General features: G+C 37.1%; 1 protein-coding gene across 2 annotated transcripts, besides 1 other annotated feature; it reads left to right on the forward strand.

Annotated features, from left to right (window-relative positions):
- On the forward strand, positions 1-27,707 carry MUCL1 (mucin like 1). Of its 2 annotated transcripts, XM_047428272.1 has the most exons (5): positions 1-195; positions 23,782-23,960; positions 24,436-24,477; positions 26,090-26,212; positions 27,513-27,707. In XM_047428272.1, exons 2-5 carry the CDS (start codon positions 23,903-23,905, stop codon positions 27,560-27,562), a joined length of 273 nt encoding a protein of 90 aa, XP_047284228.1. In that variant the 5' UTR covers positions 1-195; positions 23,782-23,902; the 3' UTR covers positions 27,563-27,707. The 2 variants fall into 2 exon arrangements, with proteins under 2 accessions (XP_047284228.1, NP_477521.1); NM_058173.3 differs by lacking the exon at positions 1-195 and having other exon boundaries at positions 23,836-23,960.
- Positions 22,035-22,204: an enhancer, noted in NCBI's record as "experimental_29528 CRE fragment used in MPRA reporter constructs". NCBI's record gives its function as "activates a minimal promoter by MPRAs in K562 erythroleukemia cells, with activity observed for both the introgressed and non-introgressed 12:55246584 variant alleles {active_cell/tissue: K562}" and the evidence as "EXISTENCE:reporter gene assay evidence [ECO:0000049][PMID:34662402]".

The following is a 27,707-nucleotide window of genomic DNA, read 5'->3' on the forward strand; positions in this document are numbered from 1 at the left end:
CATTCTGCCAGGCTTTTCATTTCCCACTTCAACCTCTCAGCTCCCAACAGTCACTTGAACTATAGACCCCTTGGCCTCCATTGGGGGCTCTCCTTAAGAGACTGAGGGATCCCTGAGGGATCCCCAAAAGCAATGATTAGAGGCTGAAAACAGAAAAAAAACTTTGGAAACAGACTGGATGTTTTGTACACTCAGGTGAGTGTTGGATACACACAAACAGCTTCATAATAATTCACCAAAATTTTAGCCCACAACTTCCCTAAGATGACAAAGAAAGTCTTAAAAATGTCTGCTACAAATGTTGGTGAACAGATATCCTTAATTTGTCCTATTTGCCAGAAACGTGATTTGGATAAAAATATAAAGTAGAAGAAAGGTGAGAGGCAATTATTTTATATAAACCAGAGAGTTTTGTATTACTAACTTATGGCTAAACTTTGAAAATGAAAGCACTAAGATCTCTACAGTCTGTATATTTCTGTATGTGTATATGCATGTATGTTATGTTTATGTGATATTTTTCTACTCCCAAATGGTATTATCAAATTAATTTATGCAATTTCTTAGAGGAATTCTATGCAAATTGACTTAGAGATAAATGAGTGCTTATATAAATTAAATATTCCTAAAACTCACAGAAATTTAGAAACTCAAATGTCTTTCAAGTTCATGTGACTTGGGTAAGTTTTTGGTAAATAAGATTAGTTTAATATTGTTAGTTTAGTAAAAACAGCTGTGTTCTGGGTAATCAGCATTAAGTATAATAGAAACATACATTTATATTCTACTTGGGTTTAATAGTCATATAAGGTTAAAATAGTTAAGGGGGAAATAACTTGAGATGATGACTAACTTTGCTTAATGTTACAATAAGTCTACCTGAAAAATAGTTTCTTTTTGGTAACTTGAAACCTTAAGTTATACTAAGTTAAATGATGCATATTCATTGAATATCTAGATTATTTCCAAATAAGATAAAATACTGAAACAATTACTGAGCATAAGTTTAAGTTTATATATTTTTGGCATCTTGCTTTTATACAGTATAAAGAGACTAAATATATTTGAGTCTGTTAATTTTTGTCACATTGAAAAATTATACTATGAGGAAGCATATGCCTCTAAAATTGTGAAATGGTATATTCATCACTTTTGCAAGCTTGCTACAGAATGCTGCCATGTAACAAAGACATTTCACAATTATCTACCTCCTAATTTTCTCTATAAAAGAAACCTTACTAATGGTTAAACATTACAATTAATATGTGAAAATAATTAGGAAAACAATTCTTCATCAAAAGTTTTCAGGGAAAATAGGATATATCTTTGATAGGAAATATACGAGTATGAAGGATGTGTTTTTGTTAAGGGAAAAAGAGAGTAATTTTATCCTAAAGTTAGATGACTAGTTGTTCCAGAATGAGGAATAAGAAAAATATAGAGCAAAAACTAAAGGATATAGGAAGTTGCAGAAGGCTTGTGGAAAATGAAATTTATGTGTAGTCAAGCTGGCTAAGATTTGAATTCCTTTGTTTACACATTTAAAAATATGAGCCTTAACATCAAAAGTACACTAATGCAAAGCTAGAATATGGCTTTCTTTCTGTTAAAAAGACAAATTTTGGGTGGGGGGATTATTGGTTTGCTCTTAATAAGAGATTGTGAAAGGCTTTTCTTTAACTTTTGCATAATCTGCCTGGGAAACCAATGTTTTGTGTCTTTTCTGAATAATTTCCTCTGTTTTATGTTGTCTTTATCATGTCTTTGATTACTTAAGAGTCTTCACAATATTAAAAGAGCTAAGGGTTTTGTTTACAACTATGTAAGCTTCTGTATTTGCCTTTAAAATCTTTTATTGTCACTTTGGTTAAACGGATAACTGTTGTTTCATGGTGGCCTGTGATCCTACTTACTCGTCTATTTAAACCTTTTGACATTTTTGACAATCTCTAACAATCGGATGCTTTATGAGGTCTTTTTGACCTAAAACTGACTGAGACATCACAGACGGCCCCTGGAAAATACCCAAGAGAATTTTTCTTTCATTTTGCAAAGGAATCTGGTAAAAATAATTTATATTATTTGATATGTTAAGCTGAATGGAAATGTGTCAAATAAGAAGTGATGCTTAACCTTCCCTAGGTTACATTTGTATAGGTAAAATGCTATTTTCAAGAAATCATATAAAATTTCTAGAAATTTTGTATGTCCTGGTATAAAGTGATCAGCTATAATTTGAGTTATTATTTTAAACTTTGTATGTCACAAAATAACCAAGCTTCCTTATTAAATGAATTATCATCAGATCTTTAACCTGGATTTATATTATGTTTTTCTTTTTAAATTCCTGTACCAGTACAGCACTATTCGTTACTGTAACTTTATATTAATTTTTGATATCTAGAAGAGTAAGAGTTGCTCATTTGACTTTCCTTAGAGCTGTCCTGTCCATTCTAGGTCCTTTTTCCTTGGCTTTTTATGTATGTTTTAATAAAGCATATTCTGTTGTGCATGCATTCATATTTACCTACACACACACATCCAACCTTTTGAAATTTTGTTGAGTTTTGCATCGAATATATAGAATTATATGAGGAGAACTGGAATTTTCTAATCTATGCAAATGTTTTATTTCTCAGTTTATTTTTCCTTTTATTTAGTTTCAATAATATTTTCTAGTTTTTTGTATAGATGAGATCCACATATCTTTACAGTTATATACACCTTTCCAATACTTGGTATTTTCAGTTCATAAAATTTCAACCCATCTGATGATGCCTAGTGCTATCTAATTGTTTTAATTTTTTTCCTTATGTCAAACAAATTAGAGCACATTTTCATAAATTTATTGGTCATAAAGATATCCCCTTTTCTGAAGTCTTATTCAAAACTTTTCCCCAATGGTTATATTGGATTATCTTTTTCTAAGGAATTTATACACCATGGAATACTATGCAGCCATAAAAAATGATGAGTTCATGTCCTTTATAGGGACATGGATGAAGCTGGAAACCATCATTCTCAGCAAACTATTGCAAGGACAAAAAACCAAACACCGCATGTTCTCACTCATAGAGGGGAATTGAACAATGAGAACACATGAACACAGGAAGGGGAACATCACACTCTGGGGACTGTTGTGGGGTTGGGGGAGGGGGGAGGGATAGCATTAGGAAATATACCTAATGCTAAATGATGAGTTAATGGGTGCAGCACACCAACATGGCACATGTATACATATGTAACAAACCCGCACATTGTGCACATGTACCCTAAAACTTAAAGTATAATAAAAAAAAGTCTACTTAACAGTCGTTTGTTAATTACATGCATTATAACTATACCCTCTGAATGCGTGGCTTGAATAGTGATTTGGATGTAAGAGCTTTTATATTCATTGTAGTTTAATTCATTAACCTATCTCTTCAGGGTTAGTGCTTTGATTTTGTTCTATATAAGACATATTTGCGTGAACTTCATGAACTTATTTTTCTATATTCTCTTTTAGAAGGTTTACTGTTACACTTATTATTTAGATATATTCTCTACATAATAAACTATTTGGAATTTATTTTAGTGTATTGAGTGAAGTTGAGTATTTTTTGCCTTTTATATGAATCTTGAATTTACCTATCAGCATTTTTAAACTACCTTTTCTTCACTTTATTTTAAAATTCAATCAGTCACTGTATATTTGTGAATTACCTTCTGGTCTCTCTCTTCTTTTCATCGTCTAATTGTAAATCCTCATCACAAGCCATACTCTTTCACTGGTGCAATTTTATTGTATTTTATTTTTAAAATTTATCTTTAAAGTTTTGTATATTTAAGGTAAACAATGTAATGTTTTGATATACACAGTGAAGTTGTTACCACAATCCAACTAATTAGCATAACATTCTCTTTACATAGTTACTATTTTTTGTGGTGAGAATACTTAAAATCCACTCTCTTAGCAAATTTTAAGTATAGAATACAGTATCATTAATCATAATGAACTAACTGTGTATCTCTAGAATTTATTCATCCTACATGATTGAAATTTTATATACTAAAAATAAATATATATATTTTTTATTTCAATAATTTTGGGGGTAAAAGTGGTTTTTGGTTATATGGATGAATTGTAGAGTGGAGAAGTCTGAGATTTTAGTGCACCTGTCACCCGAGCAGTGTACATTGTATCCAATATGTAGGTTTTTATTCCTCACCTTCCTTCCACTCTCCTCCATTCTGAGTTTCCAATATCCATTATGCCACTCTGTATGCCTTTGCATACAGATAGTTTAGCTTCCAGTTATAAGTGAGAACATACGGTATTTTGTTTTCCATTCCTGAGTTACTTCACTTAGAATAATGGCTTCCAGCTCCATCCAAGTTGCTAGTTGCTGCAAAAAACACTATTTCATTCTCTTTTATGGCTGAGTAGTATTCCATGGTGTACATATACCACCTTTTCTTTATTCACTCATTCGTTGATGGGCACTTATATTGGCTCCATATTTTTGCAATGTTGAATTCTGCTATGATAAACATATACACGTATGTGTCTTTTTGATATAATGACTTATTTTCCTTTAGGTAGATAGCCAGTAGTGGGATTGCTGGATCAAACAGTAGATCTACTTTTTGTTCTTTGAGAACTCTCCATACTGTTTTCCATAGAGGTTGTACTAATTTACATTCCCATCAGCAGTGTGTAAGCATCCCCTTTTCACCACCTCTACACCAACATCTACTGTTTTTTTGACTTTTTAATAATGGCCATTTTGGCTGGGTTAAGATGGTGTCTCATTGTAGTTTTAATTTGCATTTCCCTGATGATTAGCAATGTTGAGTATTTTTTTCATATATTTATTGGCCATTTGTATATCTTCTTTTGAGAAGTGTCTATTCGTGTCACGTGTCCACTTTTTGATGGGATTGTTTTTTTTTTTTTTCTGGCTGATTTGTTTGAGCTCCTTGTCTTGTTCCAGGTCTTCGTGGGAATGCTTTCAACTTTTCCCCGTTCAGTATGATGCTGACTGTGGATTTGTCATATATGGCTTTTATTATTTTGAAGTATGTTCTTTCTATGTCTAGTTTGTTGAGGGTTTCTACCATAAAGGGGCAATGGATTTGATTGAATGCTTTTTCTGTGTCCGTTGAGATGATCATGTGATTTTTGTTTTAAATTCTGCCTATTTATAAATTCTGCCACATTTATTAATTTGCATATGTGGAACCATCCCTGCATCCCTGGGATGAAACCCGCTTGATCATGATGAATTATCTTTTTGACGAGCTGTTGGATTTGGGTTGCTATTATTTTGTTGAGGACTTTTGCATCTGTGTTCATCAGGAATATTGGTCTGTAGTTTTCTTTTTTTGTTGTTATGTCCTCTTCATGCTTTGGTATCAGGGCATACTGGTTTCACAGAATGAGTTAGGGAGGATTGCCTCTTTCTCAACCTTTTGGAATAGTTTCAGTAAGATTGCTGTCAATTTTTCTTTGAAGGTCTGGTAGACTTTGGCTGTGAATCTACCTGGCTGTGGGCTTTTTTGTAGTTGTTGCTGGCAACTTTTAAATTACTAATTCAGTCTAATTGCTTGTTTGTTATTGGTTTGTTCAGGATTTCTATTTCTTCCTGATTCAAATTAGGAGGGTTGTATGTTTCTAGAAATTTATTCATTTCCTCTAGATTTTCTAGTTGTGTACATAGAGGTGTTATAGTAATCTTGAATTATCTTTTGTATTTCTGTGTTATTGGTTGTAATGTCTCAATTTTCATGTCTGAGCTTATTTGAATCTTCTCTCTTTTCTTGGTTAATCTAGCTAATGGTTTTCCAATTGTGTTTATCTTGTCAAAGAAACAACTTTTTGTTTCATTGATCTTTTTTGTATTTGTTTCAATTTCATTCAGTTCTGTTCTGATCTTTATTATTTCTTTTCTTCTGCTAGTTTTGGGTTTGGTTTGTCTTTGTTTCTTTAGTTTCTTGCAGTGTGATGTTAGGTTGTCAACTTGTGATCTTTTGAACTTTTTAATGTAGGCATTTAGAATTGTAAACTTTCCTCTTAGCACTGCTTTTGCTATATGCCAGAGGTTTTGATAACTTGTGCAACTATTATCATTCATTTTGAAGAATTTTTGAATTTTCATCTTGATTTCATTGTTAACCTCAAAATCATTCAGGAGCAAATTATTTAATTTCCATGTATTTGTATAGTTTTGAGGGTTCTTTTTGGAGTTTATTTTTAGTTTAATTCCACTGTGGTCTGAGAAAACACTTGATATAATTTCAATTTTTTAAAATATATTGACTTGTTTTATCTCTTATTATATGGTCTATCTTGGAGAATATTTCATGCACTGAGGAGAAGAATGTATATTCTGCAGTTCTTGAGTAGAATGTTCTGTAAATATTTGTCAGGTCAATTTTTTCTAGAGTGCAGTTTAAGTCCAGTGTTTCTTTGTTGACTTTCTGCCTCAATGGTCTATCTAGTGCTGTCAGTAGAGAGTTGAAGTCCCCAACTACTATTGTGCTGCTGTCTATTTCTTTTATTAGGTTTAGTAGTAATTGTTTTATGAATCTAGGAGCTCCAGAGTTAGGTGCAATATATTGAGGATTGTAATGTTTTCTTGTTGGATTGATCCTTTTCCCATTATATAATGACTTTTTTTGGGTTTTTATGTTTTTACTGTTGTTGCTTTAAAACCTGTTTTATCTGATATAAGAATAGCTACTCCTGCTTGCTTTTGGTTTCCATTTGTGTGGAATATCGTTTTCCACCCCTTTACCTCAAGTCTATAAGAATCCTTATGGGCTGGGTGTGGTGGCTCATGCCTGTAATCCCAGTACTTTGGGAGGCCAAGGCAGGCAGACCACAAGGTCAGGAGATTGAGACCATCCTGACTAACATGGAGAAAACCTGTCTCTACTAAAAAAAAATACAAAAAATTAGCCGGGCGTGGTGGTGGGTGCCCGTAGTCCCAGCTACTCGGGAGGCTGAGGCAGGAGAATGGCGTGAACCCAGGAGGCGGAGCTTGCAGTGAGCTGAGATCATGCCACTGCACTCCAGCCTGGGTGACAGAGTGAGACTCCGTCTCCAAAAAAACAAAAACAAAAACAAAAAAAATCAATGCTTATATTTTAGGTGAATCTCTTGAAAACAGAAGATATTTGGTTTGTGATTTTTTAATACGTTCTGCCAATTTGTATCTTTTAAGTGGAGCATTTAGACCATTTACATTCAGTTACATTCATATACATATTTAACATTGAGACATGAAGTAGTAGTTTCAGTCATCATATTGATTGTTACCTTGATACTTTGCTATCTTCATTGCATTATTGTTTTATAGGCTCTGTGAGTTTTATGCTTCAAGTGGTTCTATTCTGGTGCATATCCATCTTTTGTTTCAGGATTGGGAACTCCTTTTAGCATTTCTTGTAGGACTGGTCTGGTAGTGACAAACTCCCTCAGCATTTGCTTGTCTGAAAAAGACTATTTCTCTCCATTTATAAAACTTAGTTTTGCTTGATACAGAATTCTTTGCTAACAGTTATATCATTTAAGGAGGCTAGAGATAGGACCCTAATCCTTTCTGGTTTGTAAGGATTCTGCTGAGAAGTCTGCTGTTAGTTTGATATGTTTTCCTTTATGGGTTATCTGATGCTTTTGTCTCACTGCTCTTAGAATATCTTCCTTCACATTGACTTTAGATGGCCTGATGACTATATGTCTTGGTAATGTCTTTTTGTCATGAATCCCACAGGTGTTCTTTGAGCTTCTTATATTTGTGTGTCTAAATCTTTAGCAAGGCCAGGGAAGCTTTCCTCAATTATTCTCTCAAATAAGTTTTTGAAACTTTTTGCTTTTTCTTCTCCCTCAGGAGCACAAATGATTCTTAGGTTTGGCTGTTTTACATAATCCCATATTTCTTGGAGCTCTTGTTCATTTCTTTTATTTTTTTTCTTTATTTTTTCTGATTGAGTTAATTCAAAAGGCTTGTCTTTGAGTTCCAAAATTCTTCTTGGTCTAGTCTATTGTTAAAACTTTCCATTGCACTTTGTAATTCCCTAAATGTGTCTTTCATTTCCAGAAGTTCTGATTCGTTTTTCTTTAAGATATCTATCTCTTTAGAAAATTTTTCATTATTATCCTGAATTGTTTTTTAAATTTCTTTATGTTGGGTTTCACCTTTCTCTTGTAACTCCTTGAGTGGCTTCATAATCAACATTTTGAATTCTTTATCTGGCATCTCAAAGATTTCATATTGGTTTGGATTCATTGCTGGAGAGGTAATGTGATCTTCTGGATGGGTTATAGAACACTGTTTTGTCATATTGCCAGAATTATTTTTCTAGTTCCTTCTCACTTGGGTAGACTATTTCTCCTAATTATTTTTAAATTTATTTTTAATTTTAGTATGTTTTCTTAAATTTTTTTCTCATTGAGGATGTGACCTTATCATTATAGTTTATTAGAACTTAATTTGGCTCTGGGTGCTTTCAAATATGAAGACTCTGTAGGAATTCCTTGGTTATAGAGAGTCTTTGTATAGTGGCTTACTCAGCTACTGGTTGTAGTACAATATGCTTGGTGTGTGAGCAGGTGGGATTGGAATGGTGGGGGTGTCTTGAAGCTTATCTCATTCTCCAGTGGCACACACTTATTTATTTATTAATTTTCTCCCTCAGTATTTTATTTACTGGATTGAACAGTTCAGGCTTCTGGCCAGTATGGGAGGTGACCATGGGTATCAACTGGCAGTGACTAAAGCAGGTGGGTAAATGCGACATCCAATTGTGGACAGAGATCCCAGCCTTGACAGAGGCAGCTGGGGGAGGTCTCAGTGAAATGCACTGAGGTCTTTTCATTGGGGTAGGGAGGGAGCAACCTCATCCTCCTGTCAAGTCGCAGGAAAATGATTTGCCTCCCAGTCACACTGCTGACCAGTGTTTCAGCTATTTAGATCAGACAGGTACCTCTTTTCTTCTTCAGGAATGCTGATGTTCCATGTAGAAAGGGATTGTGACTACTCCTTGTGGAAGCCTGAACCTGGAGGGCACTCCTTGTGTGGGGATGTAGTCACCCTGAAGTGTTCCAGAAAGGCTGTGTACAGGTGCACCCATGCTCATCTCCCATAGGAGAAGTTCCAACTGTGTCACCTGTGGTGGGCAAACACTCCTTGAGCACCAGGGCTGCCTGACTGTTGTGGCGGAGCTGCAGACTTTCTGTGCTAAGCCCTGCACTGCACCTGTGCCTTTGCTTAGAGTCGCTTTTCACAAGCAGAAAGTTCTGGGACTCAAGGCCTGCTGTCTGGATTCTTTTGTCCCACCTGGTATTCCCTTGATGTGAATTCCCCCTGCCCCTGGAAGTAAGAGTCCCTGAGGGTCAGACTACTGTGAATGCTACTGCTCCTCTGGCTCTTGCTGCCCAGTGGGGTAGCCACACTCCAGGCTGGTGCTAAGGAATGTCTGCAAGGAATCCAGTGATGTGATATGTCCTCAAGTCTCCCAGAAGCAGGTACCAGGACCAGTTCTGATGGCGATGGCACAAGAGTGATGTAGAGTCTGTGAAATTCCTTGGTTATAGATAGCCTTAGTGTGTTGGCTTTCTCAAATACCAGCTGCAGTAGTAATAAACTGGTCATGTGCACAGACTCAGGACCTCCTGCTCAGCCAGAGTGATGCAGACAATGGTAATAGCTGATGATATGAATAAGTTTCCTTCCAGAATGCTGTATTATTCTGCCTGCAGATGCTGTAATGGACTGTGTCAGTTGGCCTCTAGCCAGGAGGTGGCACTTGCAAAAGAGCTCAGCTGTGGTGGTAGCAGTGGGATTGGTGTTTTCCTTATATTACCCAAGGGAGGTACTCTAGTGCCTCAGGCAATGAGCGGGGTCATAAAGTTTCCGCAAGTTTCTGTCCTTTGCATTAAGCTACCAGGGCAGGTGGAGGGGAAAAGCCAGGTTATGGCTGGGTCAGGCAAGTCCCACACTCTGGCTATCCATATGTGGGTATAAGCAGTGACTCCAGTGGGGATTGGAGGGCAGTTCTCTGGCTGCTGGCATAATGTTCCAGGGAGGAGCACAGCTGCCTCTGCCACACAAAAGAATCCACATGGGGAGTGGGGAGTAGCAGGTGGCAGTAAACCCCACCCAGCTCCCACGCATTTGGCAAAGCAGGCCTCATACCTGCAGTATTCCACTAGTAGCAGCTAGCAAGCTTCCAGGTAGTCTGTGCTCAGAACTCAAAACTGCCCCATGCCATAAACCCTCCCCAGGGATGAAACTGTATAATTTGACCAGTAGCTCCCCTTTTCTCTCACTCCTGTGTCCCTGGTATCCACCATTCTACTCTCTGCCTCTATGAGTTCAATTATTTTTAAGCTTCTACATGTAAGTGAGATCATGTAATATTTGTCTTTCTGTGCCTGGTTTATTTCACTAAGCATAATGTCCTCCAGGTTCATCCATGTTGCCATAAAATGGAAGGGCTTCCTTCTTCTTTTAGCCTAAATAATACATACATGTATATGTAGTTATCTATCTGTCTCAGAATTTCTTTATTCATTTATTAACCGACACTTAGATTGTTTTTCATGTCATGGCTGTTGTAGAACGATGCTGCAATCAACACATGAAGGGGCACAGATATCTCTATAAGATGCTGATTTCCTTTGAGTATATACATAGATGTATTGCTGGGTCATATGGTAGTTATTTTTTTTAAGTTTTTGAGAAACCTCCATACAGTTTTCCATAATGGTTGTACCAATTTTCACTCCTACAAACAGTATACAAATGTTCCTTTTCCTCCACATCCTCACCAACCCTGCCGTACTTTGTCTTTTCAATAATAGCCATTCCACTAGGTGGGAGGTGATATCACATTGTGGTTTTGATTTGCATTTTTCTGAAATGAATGATGTTGAACACCTTTTCAAATCCTTGTTGGCTATGTGTATGTGTTCTTTGGGAAAATGTCTATTCAGATTCTTTGTCTACTTTGTAATTAGCTTACTATTAGTATTTTTAGTTGTTGATTTTGAATATTAACCCTTTATCAGATATCTGATTTACAAGTCCTTAAGTTTCATTTCATTTTGTCGATTGTTTCCTTTGCTGTGCAGAAGCTTTTTGGTTTGATGTAGTCCCATTTATTTTTGCTTTTGTTGCCTGTGCTTTTGGTATCATACCCAAAAAATTATCACCATAATCAACATTCAGGAGGCATTCTCTTATGTTTTCTTCTTGGAGTTTTACAGTTACAGGCCTTAATAATTCTATACAAGTATTAGAGCAATTTCTGTAATTTTTCTTCAAGATTATCTTGACTCTATGTGGCTTTGAATTTTAATATAGAAAAGAATCAACTAATTAGTTTCCAAAAACAAATTCCCTACAATTTATGCAATTGCCTTCAATCTATAAATTACTTTGGAGAGAACAACATCTTTATAATATTGAGTTTTCCTGTTCATTTGTATTTTATCCCTCCATTTATTTTGGATAGTTCCTGCAGAGATGCTTTGAACATCTGTATTTATTACTATTTACTTGGTTACATTGCTGTTTCTATAAATTACATCGTTAAAAATTCTAGTTGTTTGCTGCATATATATATATATAAATACAATTTAGTTTTGTATATTGACCTTGTAGATAGAAAATGGCTACAGTTAATTTTATTTTTATTTTTAAAATTTATTCATTTTTAATTGACAAAAATTGTTTATGTTTATCATGTACAACATGTTTTGAAATTTATACTGGGGGATTGCTAAATCAAGTTAATTAGCATATGCATTACCTCACATACTTATCTTTTTTTGTAATGAGAACCCTTAAAATATACTCTCAGGCCTTTCTGTGCCTGGTTCATCCATGTTGCCATAAATACACAAATACGTACATTGTTATAGTCACCATTTTGTACAGTAGATCCTTGAACTTATTCTTCCTGTCTAACTGAAACTTTGTATCTTTTGACCAACATCTTATAGTTGATTTTAAATTCTCATTGTTTTTCTGTAGATTGTTTTAGACGTTCTATGAATACAATTGCTTCAACTATAAGTAATTATCTTTTCATAATTTCTTTCTATTCATCTTTTCTTTTTTTCTACTTCCTGCCTGATTGCCCTGTTTGAATCTCTAGCACATTATCAATATACAGTCATGCACCATGCAACAGTGCTTTGGTCAGCAACAGATTACATACAGGATGGTGGCCCCATAAGATTATAATACCATGTTTTTACTGTATCTTTTCTATGTTTAGATACGTTTAGACACATAAATATTCCCGCTGTGTTACAATAACTTACAGTATTCAGTGTAGAAACATGCTGTACAGGTTTGCAGCCTAGGAGCAATAGGCTATACTATATAGCTTAGGTATGTACTAGGTTATAACATCTACGTTTGTGTAAGTACACCCTGGGATGTTTGTGCAATGATGAAATCACCTAATCACCTAATGATGTATTTCTCAGGATGTATTCCCATCATTAAATGATGCAGGACTGTAAATGGTATCTATTGTTGTCCCAGGAGAATGCTTTTGATGCTTCAGTCTTTGGTATGATGTTTGCTGTTAATTAAGACAATACTTTTCTATTTATATTTTTGTAAGAGCTTTAAAATAATGAATGGGTATTGAATTTTATCAAATGTTTTTCTGCATCAGTTAAGATAATCCTATGATTTTTAAAAATTCTGTTAATTAGATGACTAACTTTGAAAGACAGAATATTGGGGCCCCAAAGATGGTCCACATTTTAATGCCTGAAACCTGCATTTATGTTAGATGGTATGGAAAGGTGTGATTAAGGTCGCAGATGAAGTTAAAGTTGTTAATTAGCTGAACATATAATGAGCAAGTTATCCTGGATTATTCAGGTAGGCACAGTGTAATCGCAAGGGTCTTTTAAATGTGGAAGAGGGAGACAGGAAAGTCAGGGTCAGTGTCATACAGAATGAGACAAACTCAAATAATCATTGCTGCCTCTGAGCTTAGAAAGGGCCCACAAGGCAAGTAATGTGAGCAGCCTCCAGAAACTGTAGAAGGAAAGAAAATGGATTCTTCTATAGAGACTTCAGAAAGAATGCAACCCTTGATTTTGGCCTAGTGAGACCCATTTCAGACTTCTGGACTGACTCCAGAACTGTAAGATAATACATTTATGTTTTTTGAAGGCACTAAGTTGGTGGTAATTTGTTATGCAGAAATACGAAAGTAATACACTGACATTCATTGATTTTCAAATATTGATCCTATCTTGCATTCTTGAAATAAATTGAATTAGGTAATGTCTTAACCTTTTTGTTTATCACTAGATTTGGTAATTTATTGTTTATAAATTTTGCTTTTATGGTCATGGTAATGAATGTTTTGTAAATTTTCTTTCTTATATTTTTGAGGCTTTGGCATCAAGGATATACTGGTGTCATCAAATTATATTAGAAGTCTTCCATCATTTTTTCAACATTTGGGAAGCATTTTGATAAGATGAATGTTTTTTCCTTTTCAAATTTTAGGTAGAAAGTCTTGATGAAGCTACCTGGGGCCCCAGATTTTTTTTATTGGGGGATAATGTATTATGAATTTAATTTATTTAATAGATCTATGGTAATGCAAATTAAGGTTTCTGTTAGATAGATTTTTTTTGATGCCCTAAGAGGTTGCTGAGGAACAATGCCCTTATGATTCCTAGGAGCTTCATGCTTAACAGGGATGAACCATGACACACATTTATAAAATCCTAAGACAGCCTAAGGATCTGGCTGAAAGGTGACACTGAATTTCTGAGACTTTAGCACAACATCTTTATAAATCTCATCTCTCTCTAACTTGTGATGTGCACCTAAAAGAGAAACTGATGACACTTTTGACATTTTGTCAGGAAATCTCCTTAACTAGATCTAGCAGTTCATTAGGTATATTTTTATGTCTTACCTTTCTTTAGGCAAGAGTTTTGCCAATTTCTCCCAGCCGTTAATAACATCTTACTCAATTTCCTTTAAGCCCTCAACAACAAGCTTTAGTCTTGTCAGGTGTTGGACTATTTTCTCCACATATCTTTTACATCTTCTTTCTTGCAATTTGTCCAAAGCCAAAGCTACATGTTTTATGTTTTTGTTATTACAGCATCCCAATTTTGATGCCAAATTTTATTTTGATCACTTATTTCTGCAGAAAAAAACCACTGCAAAATATCATGACACTACACAAAAACTATTTTAATAGACTCACAGACACTGTGGGTGAAGAAGCTGGGTAAGGCACTGAAGGAATGTCTTATCTCTTCTTGACTATGTATGAGGCACACTTGGGGACTAATTAAATGGCTGGAGGTAGAAATCATTTGGAGGATCCTTCAGACATATTTCTTGCACTTGGTCTCAGATGACATTAAGGTTGAGCTCAGCTGGGACTGTCGGCCAGAATGCCCACACATGGCCTTTCTTTGCAGCTTGAACTACCTCAGTATGATGGCCTCAAGGTAGTTAACACAATGGAGATGGTTCATCTTCTTAGATACTTTCATTGGGTATACTTTGTTACTGAGCAATGAGCTCTCTGCCCAATGCATATAGCAGTCAATGCTATAGCACCAGCTTTTGAGAAAAGGAGGGCCTTTATAGTGAGTTGACTGGCAAGGAGACAGGAGGTAACACTCAAATTTGTCTCCCCGAGCTGTGGTCTTGGGGCAGGTTTTACAGGCAGAGAATAACAATGAGAGAGATAGGAAAATGCAACAAGATGTGATCTGATTGGTTAATGCAAAGAGGTGGCGACGGTTTCCTGTCTCTTAAGTCTGTTCTGCAACAAAACAAGGCACCCTTCACTTCATAATTTGGTCCCCATTCTCAAACCAAGTACTTAGATTCTGCTTGTGGTTGACTTTTTTGTTCCAGCTGACTCTGGGGTTACCAGTAGGGTACACTTGGTTCATCTGGGCATGCTCAGGTTATGTGACCTGCAACTTGAGGGCCACTGCACCCAAAAACAACTCATGATTTGGTTACATTTTGTTACTGACAAAGTGAACTGGACTGGACTGGTTCTGCTGTTATAATTTCTGTACTGCTAAATATTTAGTGTATGTTTTAGCCAAAATTTTCTTACATACCTACAGTACAGTTTTCAATTTTAGTAAATTTAACATGGGTGCAATGTGTTCTTTCTCCTCTAAAAGTGTTTCTGATGTTATTTTTGATCCAGTGAGTTTCCTTATAAAACTGTTTTTCTCCAGTACACAATCAGGTTCAAGATCATATACTGCATTTAATTGCCTCATCTCTTTTGTTTCCTTTATTCTGCAAAAAAAACTTGTAGCTTTTTTTATGTTTTAAGACATTGACAAATTCACCACTCAGTAAAACCTTGCACTTGTCCTTCGAGCCCATATGTGATCCAGTTTTTCCGGTACACTGGGCGAGAACTTGAGATACAGAAAATGGTCACACTGGCCCTCTATGCTTGCCATAGGCGGAGGGTCCATTGAGCTGGTTAACACAAGCCGTCTGCAGATGGCAAAACTGAAAAAGCACACTGTAACACACACCCTCTTGGGCTTCAGGAGTCACAGACACCCATCCCTAGATGCTGCCATGGGGCTAGATCCCAAAAGTGCTCCCCATGGCCTCTGCACCTGCCCGTCTGCATGTTCCTCCTAGGGGTCTGACTACTGGGGCAACTGAAGGAGCGAGCCACATCCCTGTGGCATGACCTGCGAAGGGGATCAGGGAACCCTCCCATTTCAATAATAGTTGAAAATATCATTCTTCTGATTGTTTCACTTCATGGGAGAGTATTTTGTGGTTTGTTCCCAGGTTTCCAGCTTGGGGCAGCCCTTCAACATTAGTGGGAAAAAGATAGGGCAATGATAGGAAATGAGTATATAGCAGTGAGTGGGATGAGCCATGACTGGGGAAACAATGAGAAGTAGGAGAAAGACTGGAAGTTCTTTTACTTAACTACAAAGAGCCAGTGGTAGAGAGAATTTGTGTTTAGGAAAGATCTTTCCTGGTGGTAAAATAATGAATCAGGACACACAGAGCTCTGGAAAGAACTTCCCTTGCTTTTCATCATAGGAAGTGCCTGTGAGGTTTATTAGGGTAACTGAATAATGACTATGCTCACTTGTGTGGGTAACTTGTACTTTCAGCTTTAGGTGTATGCTGTTTTTCCTGTGTAACTGTTTATTTCCAGATTTCTGGGACTATAGGATCTTCCAGGCAATAAAACATTCCTGTACCTAAACACTATTTGAGTTTTATTTAGTTAATTCTGTTTATGGTTTTCCTGCCTGCCTACCCTTTCACAGCCTGAGGTTCTGCCTTCCAAGATGTCATCCACATCCTGCTTAGTCCTTTTCATAGACCTACGCTCCCTCCTCAATACTTTATGAAAAGCCATCCATTTTCATCTCATGCTTATCATATGAATTTGTCTTGCTTCTTTCAGCCTGTCTGCCTTCCTTCCTTCCTTCTTTCTTTTCCTCTAGTTAACTCTCATGTATCAAGAAGTAACCGAGTGCCGGGCACTCTTCTAAGTATTGTGAAATAGTGTTGAGCAATGAACCTATTTTTCTCTCTGTCTCTTAGAGTTCATTTACTGAGAGGGAGGCAGAAAACTGACAAGCAAAGAGCAAAGAAAGGCCGGGCACAGTGGCTCACGCCTGTAATCCCAGCACTTTGGGAGGATGAGGCAGGTGGATCGTCTGAGGTCAGGAGTTCAAGACCAGCCTGACCAACATGGTGAAACTCCGTCTCTACTAAAGATACAAAATTAGCCTGTCATGGCGGTGCATGCCTGTAATCCCAGCTACTTGGGAGGCTAAGGCAGGAGAATTGCTTGAACCCAGGAGGCAGAGGTTGAAGTGAGCCAAGATCACGCCATTGCACTCCAGCATGGGCATCAAGAGTGAAACTCCATTTCAACAAAACAAAACAACAAAACAAAACACAAAAAGCAAAGAAAGAAAGAGACAAGCAAATATCAGGCAATAATGGGTATTATGATAAGAATAGAATCAAATGAGGTAGTGATAATTTTGGGGATTACTTTAGTTTGGAAGCCATCGAAGGTGGCCTGAAGATGTATTTAATTTGAGATTGAATGGCAATAAAGTATGACAGAAGTTACGGGTCATGCATTGAAGAAACATGCTGTGTCTATAGATCATGCTTGGGGCACACATTCAGATTTCTAATGCTAGACAGTCACTGCACAGCCCTGTGTATGCCCCAGCTCCCTTGGCATGATCACAGGATGAGATCTTACCTTTGGTACTAACAGCAAATCCTGTTTCATCTCCCATCATCCTAGGACTTCCCTTCATCTCAATTCTTTTTTTTTTTTTTTTTTAATAAATGCAGTATCTGAACCCATCGTTAGTCTGTGTCTAGTTAATTCTTGTTTGTTGAAACTCAGCTGTGTGCCCTTGATGATCCCAGGCCACAGCTGCTGCAGGTTCTTCCAATTTCTCTGTGGTATATGGTGAGGAGTGAGGAGTCTGGTTTTGGACCAAGTTCCTGATGCTCCCTGAAGACCTCTCTTCAGGTTGGGGCTTCTGTGCTGCTTTCTCTAAAAGCCTGTCTCCCTTTGTGATATGCTCTACATTAGAGTGTGCAGTAATGATTAGGGCAGGTTTGTGATCCTTGAGTAAATTTGGGGATTAATAATAGATATGATTTTTGTGTGGAAGAATATTAAGTTATCACAGTTATAAGATGACCCAGCTGTGTGTTTTTCAAATTGTTTAATGTAGAAATTATAATGAAAACGGCAGTTCCACTTAATTTAAAAGCTCTAATCGTATATTGTGAATAAAATTAAAATGTATTAGATTGGAAAACTTTTTTATTTTTATAAAAGATAATAAGTTAATATTTCGTATATACTCAGAATCCTTAAAGGGATAAACACAGGAAATGCAATAGATAAAAAGATTAGAATATGTAAATCATGGAAGAGGAAATTCAAGTTGTCAGTAAGCCCAAACTTACTGCATTCAGGGAAATGCAAGTTAACATAACAAATATTGCTTCTGGCATAACAGTCCAGCAAAATTCAACTGAGATAACCTTTACTACTTGCAGAAATGGTCATAAAAATATGCTCTGATATTTGTTCTTGTTATTTTAATTTTTAGAACTCTTTGAGAAAGCTGTTGGTAATACATATTAAATTAAGTGTATACATATATTGTGAGTCAAAAACCTCTGAACATTTATCAAATAGAGACTTTGTACATAAGGGTACATTAAAAAGTATATCAGTGGCTTCATGATTTGATAATAGCAAAAGAATACAAATGACCTGAATTCCTGTAAGCAGGTAATGCTAGAGTAAATTATGATATAATCAAGCTACTGAAAGGAAAGATACAGATATATAGGGACTGAGTTAGAGTTCTAAGAAGTAGTGTTGAGTGCAAAAAGAAGAAAGAATGGTTTATAATTTAAGGCCATTTTGTACAGCATTTTAAAAGAATTTGTGTACAAACACAAATATATGGTCACTTGCATCTACATATATTTGCCTATTATAATAGGAATATGGGGAAATTTATTTAACATTTGCTTTTTGGTATTGATGATAGCAGTGTATGAAATATTAGCCATAAAGGAGTAGGAATAAATAACTACATATAAGTTCATATATGCATAAAATTTTCACAAATATATAATTACCAAGTAAAAATGGCAGTTATCTCATTGTTTTGGCCCATCTAGAGACTTTTACTTTCTTATGTATACTTCTATTTTAATTTTTATAAAAAATACAAAAATAATCTTGTAATGGGAAAGAGCAGTAGTAAAAAGTTTTGGAGCTATGTCATCCATTGAATTTCACTCTTAAAATTACATATCCACTAGTATATAGTGTATACATATATAGAGAGATAAAGTTTGGTTATACATACAATATATGATTTTATATAGAATATATTGCATAATATTTGACAGATGTTACAAAATGTAGATATTAGAAAGATCTCAGTTTAATTTTAATATAACATGCCCTATATATAATGCTGTTCATTTTAATGAACAAATTTGGTGTTAGATCTGAGTATATTTTATATACTCACATATGATACTTTATGCTTGAATTTTAGATCCCTCTTAAAGTGATAATATTAAAAACCTACAATTTGAAGCATTATAATATTATCAAAATCCAATAACTTCAGAAAAATAAAGCCTCAAAACTGTTGTAGGCCCCACGGGGCTCCCCTACACCCTGAGCCTTCATGTCCTCTGCACACTCAGGCCACTGGTTGCAGATTGTCTGCTTTCCCAGCAACTGCAGACCAGCTTCAGCTTGGGCAAACCAGCACTGTTCTCTGCCACCCAGAGGGCTGCTTCTCCAATGAGTTCTGAATATCAGCTTCAGGGAGGAGGGCTCTTTATTGTTGTCCTTCCTTGGATAGTCTCCCTCAACCCTAGGGTTTCATAGAACTTCCTTATAACTACTCATTTTTTTTTATTATTACACTTTAAGTTTTGGGTACATGTGCACAACGTGCAGGTTTGTTACATATGTATACATGTGCCATGTTGGGGTGCTGCACCCATTAACTCGTCATTTACATTAGGTATATCTCCTAATGCTATCCCTCCCCCCTCCCCCCACCCCACCACAGGCCCCGGTGTGTGATGTTCCCCTTCCTGTGTCCACGTGTTCTCATTGTTCAGTTGCCACCTATGAGTGAGAACACACGGTGTTTGGTTTTTTGTCCTTGCGATGGTTGGCTGAGAATGATGGTTTCCAGCTTCATCCATGTCCCTACAAAGGACATGAACTCATCATTTTTTATGGCTACATAGTATTCCATGGTGTATATGTGCCACATTTTCTTAATCCAGTCTATCATTGTTGTACATTTGGGTTGGTTCCAAGTCTTTGCTATTGTGAATAGTGCTGCAATAAACATACGTGTGCATGTGTCTTTTTAGCAGCATGATTTATAATCCTTTGGGTATATGCCCAGTAATGGGATGGCTGGGTCAAATGGTATTTCTAGTTCTAGATCCTTGAGGAATTGCCACACTGACTTCCACAAGGGTTGAACTAGTTTACAGTCCCAACAACAGTGTAAAAGTGTTCCTATTTCTCCACATCCTCTCCAGTACCTGTTGTTTCCTGACTTTTTAATGATTGCCATTCTAACTGGTGTGAGATGGTATCTCACTGTGGTTTTGATTTGCATTTCTCTGATGGCCAGTGATGGTGAGCATTTTTTCATGCGTTTTTTGGCTGCATAAATGTCTTCTTTTGAGAAGTGTCTGTTCATATCCTTTACCCACTTGTTGATGGGGTTGTTTGTTTTTTTCTTGTAAATTTGTTTGAATTCATTGTAGATTCTGGATATTAGCCCTTTGTCAGATGGAGAGATTGCAAAAATTTTCTCCTATTCTGTAGGTTGCCTGTTCACTCTGATGGTAGTTTCTTTTGCTGTGCAGAAGCTCTTTAGTTTAATTACAACCCATTTGTCAATTTTGGTTTTGTTGCCATTGCTTTTGGTGTTTTAGACATGAAGTCCTTGCCCATGCCTATGTCCTGAATGGTATTGCCTAGGTTTTCTTCTAGGATTTTTATGGTTTTAGGTCTAACATGTAAGTCTTTAAATCATCTTAAATTAATCTCTGGGATGCAAGGCTGGTTAACATATGCAAATCAATACACGTAATCCAGCATATAAACAGAACCAAAGACAAAAACCACATGATTATCTCAATAGATGCAGAAAAGGCCTTTGACAAAATTCAACAACCCTTCGTGCTAAAAACTCTCAATAAATTAGGTATTGATGGGACGTATCTCAAAATAATTAGAGCTATCTACGACAAACCCACAGCCAATATCATACTGAATGGGCAAAAACTGGAAGCATTCCCTTTGAAAACTGGCACAAGACAGGGATGCCCTCTCTCACCACTCCTATTCAACGTAGTGTTGGAAGTTCTGGCCAGGGCGATCAGGCAGGAGAAGGAAATAAAGGGTATTCAATTAGGAAAAGAGGAAGTCAAATTGTCCTTGTTTGCAGATGACATGATTGTATATCTAGAAAACCCCATCGTCTCAGCCCCAAATCTCCTTAAGCTGATAAGCAACTTCAGCAAAGTCTCAGGATACAAAAATCAATGTGCAAAAATCACAAGCATTCTTATACACCAATAACAGACAGAGAGCCAAATCATGACTGAACTCCCATTCCCAATTGCTTCAAAGAGAATAAAATACCTAGGAATCCAACTTACAAGGGATGTGAAGGACCTCTCCAAAGAGAACTACAAATCACTGCTCAATGAAATAAAAGAGGATACAAACAAATGGAAGAACATTCCATGCTCATGGGTTGGAAGAATCAATATTGTGAAAATGGCCATACTGCCCAAGGTAATTTATAGATTCAATGCCATCCCCATCAAGCTACCAATGACTTTCTTCACAGAATTGGAAAAAACTACTTTAAAGTTCATATGGAAGCAAAAAAGAGCCCACATTGCCAAGTCAATCCTAAGCCAAAAGAACAAAGCTGGAGGCATCACACTACCTGACTTCAAACTATACTACAAGGCTACAATAACCAAAACAGCATGGTACTGGTACCAAAACAGAGTTATAGACCAATGGAACAGAACAGAGCCCTCAGAAATAATGCCACACATCTACAACCATCTGATCTTTGAGAAACCTGACGAAAACAAGCAATGGGGAAAGGATTCCCTATTTAATAAATGGTGCTGGGAAATCTGGCTAGCCATATGTAGAAAGCTGAAACTGGATCCCTTCCTTACACCTTATACAAAAATTCATTCAAGATGAAAAACTACTCATATATCAAACTTTAGAAATTCTTTGTATCACACTTTTCCTGTTTAATCCACTGTGCAGTTTTGATCTCTTAAGGGGACCCTAACTGATACATATGTTTAATCTTTTTTTCTTAGCAAGCCAGTCATTGTCTTAAGTCTGTGTGGTGGGTCTCTGCCTCTGTGGAGGGACACAGTGGGCTCTCAATAAGTAACCGTCTCCTAGAAGACCCTTCAATTTGTGTCAGTGTTGTTGGGAGGCCTTACAAAGGTGACTGTAGGGCTTATTCCCTACGGGGTATAATCAGATAGTATCTGTCTTTTAAGTCTTCCTTCCTTCTTTATCTCTTTTAAATATTTCTCTTTCACTTTTCCTTCAGAATATGTGTTTTTTTCTTAGCGTTATTTATGCTAATCTCTCACCATATTATGACAACTCTGTGCCTCATGGAAGATATGAGTTTACCCAGGACAAGGACACTGACTTGTCTTTCCGAGGTTGAAGACCACTCCCTCAAGAATTTCCTCTGCCTTTCTTCATTCACCTGATGGGGACCTCTTAGCATGTTTTGGGGAGTAGACTGGTTGCTGTTATCAGACAGACTCTCCAATAAAAGGAGAAATAGATGTTCAGTGCTCTTCCAGATTACAGAGATCCTTCCAATGAGGGTATGACCCAAAAAGGCATACTTTGTATGAAGAAGAAGAACTTTAAAGCAAGGGAAATCTTTAAAATGTAGAGAATTCCCTATGATTCTGGGTATTCCAAATGTTCATCACCCCTCTTTGAGGCCTCAGTTGGGTCCAGCACTTGATTGTGCTGTAAATGTGGATTGTTTTCCTCCCTTGCTGTCTTTACTTAGCAGCTTGGCTCCATTATGACAAAGGGCAAGTAGATTGATGGAACTTGGGGCAGTGCTGGGCCCTACTCAACAACTGCAGAGAAGTCTGGATGACCATATTCTACATGCACTCACCATTGCTTTCCTTCAGACTGACCATTTCCTTTCCGTTGCATTATCCAAATATACCACGTTGTTGATTCCTCAGCTCCTTAAGAGTCTGTTCAAATATCACCTATTCAGTAATGCCTTTTTTGGTCACCTTATATAAAATTGCTCCCCATTTTCCATCTCTAAACTCTCCTTTCTTCTTTCCTGCCTTCTTTTTTTATTAGGCCTTATCACCTCACACATAATACATTGTGTTTTCTCTTTCTTTACTTTTTTAGTGTATGAATTCCTGCAAAACCATGTATTAAATAAAATTTTTGTGTGCTTTGTTCGCTGTTATTTTTCTAACATCTAGCATTGTGTCTGGCATACAATAATGCTCAATGAATGTTTTTTGAATGAAAAAATTGATTAAATGGATGCATGAATTAACAAATGTTAGTTTATTCTGTATACTTACTCCTTGATTTTGAATTTTTATACAATGGTTGCTAAATCCAGTAAGGTCATAGTTCGTTCTTTAGATCATTCAGTGTTGGACTCACTCTGCACCAGTGTCAGATGACCTAATTACATGTTCAGGAGGGAGGCCATGACTCGAAGAATGCACAGCCTGAGTTACACCGGATGGTCTTTGGATCAGGCTGCTCTACCCTGATTATTCCCCTAGGGGGAGACAGAGGTCTAAGCACTCTGTAAGTGTATGACTCCTAGAATCTATGAAAAGAGCACTGCAGATTTCAGGAAGGCTGGTTATGGGGCATCTCCAACCTGTCATAGGAGCTGGTAATTATGGAGACACTATACCCTACATGTAAGAGGATGCCTGGAAGAGAAGTTGCCTGGAGCATATTTAACATGAGAGACTCGAATTGAAACCTGTTTAGCCAGAACCAATGATTTGAATTCACAACCTTTCCAAAGGGCCCCTGGCTGTGTTGTTGATTCTCCAGTGGTTTGTGTCCCAACGTTTCCTGGCATTACCTAACCTGGATTCTGGTTGACAGCTCCTGATTGGTGCCCTCTGCATATATATTGTCAGGATGTGGAATCCTGAAGTCAGCGCCTTGCCTTCTCTTAGGCTTTGAAGCATTTTTGTCTGTGCTCCCTGATCTTCAGGTCACCACCATGAAGTTCTTAGCAGTCCTGGTACTCTTGGGAGTTTCCATCTTTCTGGTCTCTGCCCGTAAGTAAAGATTCTTACCTGAACATAAGTTTTGTGGGAATATACATAAAATATCTCCTCTAAAGATGTGGGCTTATGGTTGCTTAGAATGTGCTTTTTTACCTCTCCTAACTTGTTCTATCACCATTTTGACTGACCGTTCAAGATGGAGATGGTTATCCTTAGGCTCTTCTTAATTCAGTCAGATCTTACTTCAATAATACCTTGGAACCCAAGTTTATTGTTACTGTTAGTAAAATATGTTCAAGAAGGTAATCAGAGGTTTATTTCGGGAAAGGAAAAATGACCACATATTAGGTTTTTATTGGTTTTCATGGGTTTTATCTTATCTGTGCACTTGTTCTTCCTCAACTGGTACACCAAGGACTGAGGGTCTTCCATTGTAAAGTCTGGAATATTGTCCATATTCTCTCTTACCTCCATCCTCCAAACTGGTATTCAGCTAACATCTTAATTTTTCCTTCTTCTCTTTCAGAGAATCCGACAACAGCTGCTCCAGCTGACACGTATCCAGCTAGTGAGTCTGCACTTGAATGTCATCTCTTTCCAGCAATAACCATTTTTCACTTCCAGCCTCATGTCAAACAGCCAGTTTCCATGTGGATAGTCTTTGTTATAAGGAATCCTAAGCAAAAGTCTGTGAAAGCTATATTCCTGATTTTAAAATTCACCACAAACATAGTGAATCTGCTTATTTCTTATACATTCTTAGAATATATGAAATCTAGGCCATAGACTTATACAAATGTGGACTTATTATTCATTGTTTTCCAGCATAAGGCACAAGAGCATGAGGTCTGATGTTGTAGCCTGAGAATTTTTGAGAGATGCCTCTAATAAATGGAAGGACTGAATATATAGCCAGTGTCAAAAAGAGACCAGTGGGTCTCAGAATTTGAAGTGATATGAAAATAAGTCCATTTGGATCACAAGTGAGGGTGGTGTGTGGGATGTGGAGTGCAGGGGTCAGTTCTAAGCTTTACTCTTTGTAATGGTCTATATTCCTTATTCCCAGGCTGATGTTTGTTTCCCTTCTCTAACCTGAAAACGAAGGTGGTAGACCAAAGCCTTTAGTCATTCTTGGGCTTCTCCCAAAGTGTTCTTCACATTCTGTACTGTGTGTGTGTTGTGCCCATGCACAAGTTAAGGGGGTCTGTCTTTATCCTTCGCATCTTGGGAATTTGCATCCTTTGGTCACAAGGGCATTAGCTTTAGTCAGACCTCACATATATTTTTCCTGCCATGTGAGGCCCCATTTAAAAAATATTTTCTCTCTTAAATAAAGCCTGAGACAGCATGGATAGAGTGTGGGTTTGGAGGTGGAGCTACTTATTTGCTGAGGTGAGTCTAACTCACAAATGTGGGGCCTGACTCTTGATCCTTATCAATAGCTCTTGTGTAAGGTCTAGAGAGAGAGAGATAATTTTCAAAACTCTTACCCAGTCCCCTTTGTACATATAGTAATTAATGGGGAATTTTTTTACTATCAGAAGTGTATTAATTTCTCCTGTTATATCTAATGTGGCTCTCACAATTACCTCTCTAATAAACAGAGTCCAAGCTGCCACAGAGGGTGAGACAAATATGGCTCTTTTCATTCTAGAACCTGATAGAAGATATCTTACTGCACTCTAAGACAGGAGATATGACTCTAAGATGAGATACGTCTTCTTAGTCTGCCTCCTCCTTCCCTCTAGAGTTCATCCCTTTACTCATCCTCATTCATGCTACATTGGAATGTATGCTGTCTTAGGTTATTCTGTGGGACGGCTTCAGAATGTCAGGCTACTAGAGATTTCCTTATTGCTTCTGAGCAGTAGTCCCTGTGAATAGGAACACTCGTGGCCTTGGTCTTTTGTGCTCATACCTGGGACAAAGTACTTGCTTGTCTCTTTAATCAGTGTCATTGCCCTTGGAGGGAAACCCCAAATTCTTTCTGTCCCAGCAAAGACAAGACAGGGAAGGATGAAGCACAAGGAAAGTAGGCAGGTAGGCTAAAGGTAAGACAGAACTGATGACAGATTTGCAGAGATGAATTCAGGATGAGGAATGTATGTCTACCCCTGGGTGGGATAAATTTTGTTCCAGAAGGAGTCAGTCTCACCTAGAGCTTTTCCTTCTAATTTCAGCTGGTCCTGCTGATGATGAAGCCCCTGATGCTGAAACCACTGCTGCTGCAACCACTGCAACCACTGCTGCTCCTACCACTGCAACCACCGCTGCTTCTACCACTGCTCGTAAAGACATTCCAGGTAGCAAGACTCCTCCATCTGTGTGCTTCCTTTATGTGGCTCCTTGATTCCTTGGGTTCTCTATTCTCACAGAGACTCTATTTTTGAGGTCAGGGAGACCTCTTCTTTACATTGTTCTCTAAATCCTTGTAGTTTCTAAGTCAAGTCAACAGATAAATATCAGAGGAGTCAGGAGGTTACCTGACTCCTAGGTTACCAATATTACCTGAATGGATCTTGAAATATTGACATTTATTAAGGAAAACTCTTCCTTAGTAGAAACATCATTGGAAAGACCAAAATAAGTGTCTCCATGAAGCTAGGTAACTGCTTATTATTATTATTTTTTTAAATCAGGTAGTGTGTGTGTGTGTGTGTGTGTGTGTGTGTGTGTGTGTTTAAATCAGGCAATTTAAAAATCAGGTAATCAAGTAAAATCTTTGTTTCCTTTAGAGAATTTTCCCAAAATAGAAAATAGCTTAACAATGAATGATTTTACAATCTTTCTTGAGGCAGATTATTTTGAGTGCCATTCAGGGTATTTCTGGGGTTTTGGACATTCACTGAGGATCAATGTACATTCCTCCTATTCTGGGTTCACTTTTTCTTGACCTTTAACTTTCACATAGTATTGATTACAACATTTATTCAATCGGAACATATGCCAGGAACTGTGTCATAAAATTTACATATGTATTATAATTTAAATATCACAGTCATTCTATGAAGTAAACATTTTAAAGATGAGGAAATGGAAGAGTTGCAATGAGAAACTTTCCTTTGAGCACACAGGCAGAAAGAAAAAGGAAATTGCACTCAAACAAATGGAGAGTTACAATGAGAAACTTTCCTTTGAGCACACGGGCAGAAAGAAAAAGGATTCAAATTACACCCATACAATCAAAGTCCCTAAGAAATTTTCTTCAGATATTGCTTTATACTTTTTCATGTCTGAATCAGTGCTTGGAACTCTGTCAATAATCTGTAAAGTAGACTGTGAGTGAGAAAATGGCTTTTCTCTCTTACCAGAAGAAGGCTGGATCTCTGTGCCATATTATAGGAAAACTCATACGTATTGACTTTCTTCTAGTTCTCTCTAAAGTTCCAACCTACCTGGGCTTCCGTCTAAGGCTATATTTCCAAAATCTTTAAGGACAGAAATTGGTTGTTTATCTTCCCGTAATAACAATCCCATGTTCCTTTCGAATCCCCTGAGTTTAGTTGACATTTGACACTTGTTAGTTCCTTCAGATTCTGAAGAATAAATCCACATTCTTCATCCTTTGTCGAAGCCCCTTGACAATATTTTTTTCTCTTGCAGTTTTACCCAAATGGGTTGGGGATCTCCCGAATGGTAGAGTGTGTCCCTGAGATGGAATCAGCTTGAGTCTTCTGCAATTGGTCACAACTATTCATGCTTCCTGTGATTTCATCCAACTACTTACCTTGCCTACGATATCCCCTTTATCTCTAATCAGTTTATTTTCTTTCAAATAAAAAATAACTATGAGCAACA

The sequence above is a fragment of the Homo sapiens genome, chromosome 12 (genome assembly GCF_000001405.40).
Source record: "Homo sapiens chromosome 12, GRCh38.p14 Primary Assembly".
NCBI classification, from domain to species: Eukaryota; Metazoa; Chordata; class Mammalia; order Primates; family Hominidae; genus Homo; species Homo sapiens.

What these genes read in the sequence shown, in the direction of transcription:
- MUCL1 (XM_047428272.1), top strand. Translation starts at nt 23,903, where the DNA reads ATGAAGTTCTTAGCAGTCCTGGTACTCTTGGGAGTTTCCATCTTTCTG. An exon ending in CATCTTTCTGGTCTCTGCCC is followed by an intron (nt 23,961 to 24,435) that starts GTAAGTAAAGAT and finishes CTTCTCTTTCAG; the next exon opens with AGAATCCGACAACAGCTGCT. An exon ending in TGCTCGTAAAGACATTCCAG is followed by an intron (nt 26,213 to 27,512) that starts GTAGCAAGACTC and finishes TTTCTCTTGCAG; the next exon opens with TTTTACCCAAATGGGTTGGG.